The sequence below is a fragment of the Homo sapiens genome, chromosome 6 (assembly GCF_000001405.40).
Source record: "Homo sapiens chromosome 6, GRCh38.p14 Primary Assembly".
NCBI classification, from domain to species: domain Eukaryota; kingdom Metazoa; phylum Chordata; class Mammalia; order Primates; family Hominidae; genus Homo; species Homo sapiens.
In genome coordinates this window covers 105,888,386-105,896,131 of record NC_000006.12, presented here as the reverse complement: position 1 = coordinate 105,896,131, position 7,746 = coordinate 105,888,386, and the positions used below count along the sequence as shown (strand labels likewise).

Sequence of the window (7,746 nt, the reverse complement as noted above, 5' to 3'; positions counted from 1 at the left end):
GCACAGCTGATACCTCCAGCTGCACGTTCTTTGGTTCTTTCTGGCTCTGCAAAAGCTCTTGGTGTTCTGACAATTCATTCAAGTGGAGAGCAGTATGAATGGTGGCCCACCCAGATAGTCTTTAAAAGCATTCAAAATGGTTCTATGATTTCTGTGGCCAATCCTGTCAGTTGAAGGTAGGAGTAGGAGAAATAGTTCAAAATAGACTGAGAGCCAAAATGAATATAGGTAATCTTGGCAATTCATATTTTGTTTCTTAATTATAAAATTATCAATAAAATTGCTATTGCATGGTAGACCTAATTATGCAGCTCCCTACAAGAAAAAGATGCGGTAGGCCAGACTTGGTGGCTCACACCTGTAATCCCAACACTGTGGGAGGCCAAGGTGGGTGGATCACTTGAGGTCAGGAGTTTGAGACCAGCCTGACCAACATGGTGAAACCCCATCTCTACCAAAAATACAAAAATTAGCCAGGCATGATAATGCACACCTGTAATCCCAGCTACTCAGGAGGCAGAGGCAGGAGAATCACTTGAACCCGGGAGGCGGAGGTTGTAGTGAGCCAAGATAGCACCACTGCACTCCAGTCTGGGCAACGGAGTAAGACTCTGTCTCAAAAAAAAAAAAAAAAAAAAAAAGAAAAGAAAGAAAGAAAACAATGCCATATATTTTCAAAAATTTTCATCCTGAATATAATATGCCATGAAGGCTAAAGATCTAGCAAAGAGTCTAAGATGGCAAAAATATGGGAATTTATTCATGGCTTTAGGTATCAACTCTAGGCTGATGTGTTTCCCAAATCCATTTCTCTAGGCCTATCTTCCCTTGTAAACCTTAATCCAATGTCTCCAATTATCCATCAACTTTTTTTATAAGCTAAAAATCTTGATAACATTATCTCAAAGTCCATAGATTTCTCCTGAGCTTGTTTTCCTTGTCTCCAAACATACTTCCTCCCCCATCTTTTTCTGTTTCCATGAACTTGCTGACCTCTCACTCAGGCTTCTGAGTCTTCTTTGACTTTTTCTTTACTCTTGATACCCAGCCTGCTGCCCGAGTCTTCATGGTCACACCACCAATCATCTTTGCTTCTTTTTCACTCCCATTCTGGTCAGACCAGCCCCGATCCATGTACTTTCATTGTGGTGGGATTGCAAACATTTCCTAAGTGCTAAGTGTCATTTATTCCTTCTATTTGTTCTCCCTTGAATCCATTACACAAAGAGATGTCAAGTTAATCTTCTAAAACACTGATTTTATCATCATGCTTCTCTATTTTAAAATATTCCATAGCTGCTTCTTATCTTCAAGATGAGTCTAATACCTCTCCCAAAAGACATTGATGTCCTTGTGCAATCATTTCAGCTGCTCTCTGGTCTGAGGTCACTCTTCTGGGATAAGATTACTCACTTTTATTCTTCCACCCTGTTCCAGCTTGTCGAAATAATTTTGAGTCTTTCTGCCATTGAATATGTTTGTTATCCAGCTCAGTTTTGTGTCAGTTACATATATATGTTCTTTGTGTGTGTTTGGTTGTTAAGTTGCATAAAATATGACAGAATAAGAACATAAGGATATGCTATTGTGATTTCTGCAGGACTGAATTTTTTTGAACTGGGGGCTGAAGTTGCTATTGGTCTCAGAAAATGATCCTTTGCCTCCTGCTATATCCTTACCTAAACATTTCATAGCTCCTTGAGTCATTCCTTTATTCATTCAAGTACCAATTGAGCTCTCTCTTCTCCAGACGCAATTCCTTTTTCTCTCTCAGTAGGTGTAGCTGCTTGGAACTCACTCTTCTCATAAAGTATTGAGGCTGGCTTTTATTTGTTTATATTTGAGAGATTTGCTGTAGGTAGAAGCTGTTAATGGAGAAAAGTTGGACATTTGCTTTGACATCTACAAAATAACTCCCATTTTTCTATATTGTTCTGGTTATTACTGCTACCTAACAAAAACCACTCTAAACACAGTTATGTAGAGCAATAACTATGTTAGTATCCGTTTGGGTTAAGAATTCCGAAAGGGCACAGTGGGAATGACTTGTTTGAGCCTCCCCTCCATCACAGCTGAGGCCTCAGCTGAGAAGACTCAAGGCTGAGGTTGACTCAACAGCTGGGTCTAGAATCATCTGAGACCTTGTTCACGTACATACGGCACCTGGGCAAGAAGGACTTGAAGAGGAGGACTGCCACCTGGAACATTTTCACGTGGTCTCTCCACGTGGCTTGGCTCCCTCCCAGCAAGGCAACCTCAGGAGAGTAAGACCTATCTGCCAGGGCTCAGGGCTCCTACCACGACTATTCCTGGGAAGAAGACAGAACTTCACTGTCATTCATGAGCAAGCCATGGAAGTCACATACAGCTCTTCCAATGCATTTCATGAGATGCATGGGAGACACAAGCTGCCTGGATTTAAAAAGGAGGGCTGTAGACCTCACTTCTCACTAGGAAGAATGCTGAAGAATTGGAAGATGTGTCTTCAAATCACCACATAAAAGAATTGAGAAGTTGGCTGTAGCTACTACTTCTAGAAACTTGACCTAGTGGCCTGGCGTTTTGGGAACTTTGCTAGCTTATTCAGCACAGGTAACTCAGGGTAAAAATAACCTGAAGAAGAAATGTAATAATCACTCACTTATCTTCACCCCAATTCAGCCAGGGCTAGATAATTTTTAGTTTTGAGCCTTTTTTAAAAAAAAAAATAAAAAGAAACCTGGTAATAACACATCTTTGTCTTTTTCTCTTCTTTAATAGGCTAGAGTTGATATTTAAGACTTTAGAAAGGTGCTTCTGGGAATTTCAACATTTGGCAGCTGGTAATAAGTAGGAAATGTCATTACATAAACGCCAGTTTGAGTTTAGAGGCAGGTGGTATTTTGGAGAAGTCAGTATCAATGTGAGGCTGTAGCCACACTGACCGCCTCCAGCCCATCTGCAGAGACATTTCTGTCTCTGGCAAGTAAAGCCCCCTCCCTCTGTCTGCTTTGACTGCCTCTCTGAGTTCCCCTTTTTTCTGACCTTGAGTTTCAACTTGATGAGTCATCAAAAGGACTGGGCCACTGGATTCTACCTGGCAAGAACTTCAGTGGCTGTGCCTGTGGTGAGGGACTGTTTTCTGCTCTTATCACATCTGTGTTGACATTCGTGGAACAAATACTCATTGAGAGCCTTTTATGTCCCAAGCACTGTGCTGGGGAATGCAGTTAGAAAATAATGAGTCCAACCAGACCTGGTTCCTGCCTTCATGGAACTTACATGTAGGAAAGACGGAAGCTGCAACTTATCCAGCTCTGCAGGAGTGGTGTGAGGTGCTTTGAAATCTTGTGCTAAGTGGGGTTGACACTGGGAGGCTGGGGGAGGATCCCTGAAGAAGCAATTGTTGAGCTGAGGCATGAGTAGGTGTTAATCAGGAAAGGAGGGAGAGTGATCCAGGCAGAGAGAACAGCTTGTGAAAGGAGAGGACAGGATGGGTTGAAAGGACTTAGAATGAGAAAAAGCTGGTGTGAGTGGAAGAGACAAAGCAAGGAGGACTGGGGTAGATGGTGTGGCTGGTGGGAAGGGTGAGAACTGGACTGCACCAAGCCTGGAGACCATGATGTGTCAGTCAGAGCTCTCCAGGGAAATGGAACCAGTAGGATATATATGTGTATGTGTGTGTAATATTATTAATAATACTTAATACAAATATATATAGTATATAAACAATTTATATATAAATACAGAACCAATAAGCTCTATAATATGTATTATATATCATATAAATATGTAATTAAGAGAACTGGCAAGTGTGAAGTCTGTAGGACAGGCTGGCAGGCAAGCAGGCTAGAAACTCGGGCAGGAGCTGGTGCTGCAATCTTGACGTGTAATTTCTTCTTTTTTGATGAAGAATTTCTTCTTCTCTGGGAATCTTAGTTGTTGCTCTTAAGGCCTTTCATTGATTGGATGAAGCCCACCACATTATCAAGGTGGATAACTTATTACTTGAAGTTACTCTAGTTATTTAAAGTCAACTGACTGCAGATGTTAAGCACATCTGTAAAACACCTTCACAGCCACACGTAGGTTAGTGTTCAATTACATAACTGGGTGCTGTAGCCTAGCCAAGTTGACACATGAATGAACCATAACATAGAGTAAGGAGTTTTGTCTTGATTCTAGAAGTCATGGAAAGCTCTTGGGTTTTATAAAGAGGTGACATGATTAGATTTGTATTTTCCAAATGCACTTAATGCTGTCAGAAGAAGGTTGGTGTCTATAACCATCACCATGGGCCCTTGTGATGGTCATAAGGCACATTAGAACACTCATGAATTTTTCCAAGAGGACTGCTCTGTCCTACATGGTGCCCTGACACTGGATTGGTCAGACGTACCTCCTGGGTATGCATCTACTGTCTTGAAATTACCTCCTGGGCAGCATTTATGCTGTGTTTTATTTTGTGTTGATCTCTCTCTCTCTCTCTCTCTCTCTCTCTCTCTCTCTCTCTCTCCTCTCTCTCTTTCTCTCTCCCTCCCTCTCCAAGCAGACTGAAAGTTCTTTGGAGGCAGGAGCCACGTCTTGTTCTCCAGTGCATCCCTAGTGTCTAGGTCACTGCCTTACACATGGTATGTACCCAATAAGCATTTGTGGATGTGGGCTTAACGTTCCACCCAAAGTGCCTTGTGAAGAATTAAGAAACATCAGTCTTATCAGTAGTTCTGGGCAGCAGACAACTAAAAATTGCTGTGCTTTTATTTCTAGTTTCCTTTCATTGGCATTCTATATAGTTACCCTTTTATTTTGCATGGATGGCCTATTTTAGAGTATAGTCATTTCTTAAACTTTTTAGGTTGGAATAATTTTGGATTTACAAAAAAGTTGCAGAGATAGCACAAGAGAGTTTCCATCACCCAGTTCTTCTAATGTTAAAATCCTATATGGCTGCAGTAAATTTGTCAAAACAAAGAAATTTATATAGGTACATTACTATTAACCAAACTCCGGGTTGTATTTGGCTTTCACCAGCTTTTTTTCACTGATGTCCTCTTTCTGCTCCAGGATCTGATCCTGGATGCCATGTCGTGCTTAGTCATCATATCTTCCAGTCTCCTCTGGTCTGCGACAGTTTCTCAGTCTTTCCTTGTTTTTTTGTGACCTTGACAGTCTTGAAGAGTACTGGCTAGATATCCTATAAAATGTCCCCAATCTGTCTTTGTCTGTTTTCTCATGATTAGACTGGGGTTATGGGTTTTGGCAAAGAAAATCATACAGGTGGAGTGTCTTTGTCAGATCATGTGACAGGGTACATGATATCCACATGTTATCCCTGAGGATGTTAACCATCATAATTTGCTTAAGGTAGCATTTGCCAGGCAGGTTTCTCCACTGTAAGGTCATTATCTTTCCACTTCTCCACTGTATTCTTTGGAAGTGAGTCACTAAACTTAGCCCATCCCCAAGCAGGGAGGAGGAAAGGGGTAAGTTTCACCTCCTGGGGTGGAGTGTCTACACACATTATTTAGAGCTCTTCCACAAGGAAAATTTGTCTCTTCTCCCACATTTATTGATTTATTCAATTATTTACTTATATCAGTATAAACGTACATAGGTTTATTTTATACTTTGAGTAATAATTCATTATTATTTTGTTGCTTAAGTTGTTCTAGCTTTGGTCATTGGGAGCTCTTTTTCTGTCTCAGAAACTCATTCTTTTCATGAAATATGGAGGCTAGCTTTTATTTATTCATTTGTTTGTTTACATTTGAGATTTTAAATTTTTGAAGTGCTCTAGAGACTCATCTTGATCCTAGGAGTAATGGAAAGCTCTTGATGGGTTTTTATAAAGAGTCTGGTTCCTGCGTCCATTTGACAAGCCCCTGTCCTTTTGTTTTTTAAGCACTTCCTTATTTTCTGGTACTATAAGATGCTCCAGGTACATCTTATATTTTCCTTACCCCAGTCTTACAATTAGCAATTTCTCCAAGGAACTCTGGTTCCCTTTATTGTAAAATGGTATTTAGAAGCCACTATCTAGGTGGTAGGTGTGCTCATTGCTCCTGGGATCTCATTGCTTCCAGACCCTGTCAGCAAACGGAGCTAGGAAATCTGTGAGCACATAGCCATAGATACCTATATCTGTAATTACTTCTGACTCTATCCATCTGTGTGTCTCTATCCATCCATATAGGAATACACACACATGCACACACACATATATATTAAACTAAATTTGAGTTTATTCTGATATCTCTGACTATAATTCAGTTCCACCAGGTTTATACTAGCCATCATTTCTTGTTTATCTGTTACTCCCTCTCCAACACTGACCATCATCCATTTTATTATTTGTTCAACATTTGTAAAGCAATTTCAAAATTGTTAACCTGTATCCCCATGAGCAAGAAATTTAGCAACTAGAGTACAGTGTTTATGTATTTTTTTAAGTATAATTATTTTTATAAGAAAGTGGAATAACATAGTGGTTGAAAACACATTTTCTAAAGCCAGATTGCCTGGGTTCAAATCCTGACTCCAACACTTACTAGCTGAATAATATTGGATGAATTACTATCTTCTCATTCCTTCATCTGTAAAGTAGGGATAATAATGACATTTACTCTGTGGGGTTATTTGAGGATTAAATGAATTAACATATGTAAAGTATACAGAATATTGTGTAACATTCAATTAGCATATTTATGTGCTAACTATTACTGTTAGGGCAGACATAACATCATTTTAATTGCTACTACTAAAATAATGCTAGGTATAGTGGGGCACCATATATTGTTGAATGGTAGCATCATCTCCGTTAACTTAACTAGTTCTAGCACTTCAGCAAAGGGATTTATGTACAACTTCCTCTCCCCATTTCCTTCTGTTCATCCACTCATGTTGTCTTTTTGTCTGGAGTTCATTTATCATTTATTTCTCCATCAGCTTTTTGTGATTCTGAAACCCAAGTTGAGACTTAAGTCCGAGATTTTTATCACTTTAACCCCTTTGAGGAGACTGTGGCCTCCTTGAGGTCATGGCTCATAACCATATCTAGCTTTGTGCCCCTGGCTTCTATGATTGAGGAGTCCAGCAGTCTGAGCCATGTTTTCACTTGCTGATTTCTTTTTTCTTCTGTAATTAAGCCTGGCTTCTCTGTGGTTAACACTGCCTGGAAAATTATAGGTTTTTGTAAACCTTGAAATAGAGGTTGGGGGGCTTCACTCAAAACATTTGTGATAATGATCTGCCTATTGTTGTTATGAATATTGTACAGCAAACTGGCCATGATTTCTGCTCAGTGGGGCAGGATTGTGTATTACTGGCATTTTAATTAGGCTTCAATGAAACCAGCTGCAACCACGTCAGTGGAGTCTCAGAATATTTCTCATAATCGCAGTTTAATAAGATATAATACATATTTCCCCAACTATTTTTCCTTTATACTAACAACAACAACAATCACCACCAAAAAACAAAACCAAAAATACTCACATAAGCCAAAACCATATATACACAAAGCCTAGGTGCTTTTGAAGGTAAACTAACTTGACATACGGCTACTAATTTTTGAATCATTAAAATATAAAAACCGAACAAACCTAAGCATTTTGCTGAGGTTTCACTCCTTGCCTGGCATCTGAGAATCAGGCCCTTTACAGTTTGTAGTGTCTTTAGCAATAACTATTTTTAGGAATTAACTTCTATCCCACTCAGGCCTGCTTTACCCTTGCTTAGCAAAGGTAGATGATTTGGTTTTGTGAGATG

General features: G+C 39.7%; 1 long non-coding RNA gene across 2 annotated transcripts in view; it reads left to right on the top strand.

Moving 5' to 3' along the window:
- The first annotated feature begins 3,034 nt into the window (after positions 1-3,034).
- LOC105377923 (uncharacterized) overlaps positions 3,035-7,746 on the top strand; it is a 63,333-nt gene continuing 58,621 nt past the window's right edge. The window contains exon 1 of one of the 2 annotated variants that reach the window (XR_001744275.2): positions 3,035-3,106. This is a non-coding gene — a long non-coding RNA (uncharacterized LOC105377923). Of the gene's footprint in view, positions 3,107-3,146; positions 3,315-7,746 lie in introns of those variants that run through there. The other variant, XR_001744274.2, reaches the window with a different exon arrangement.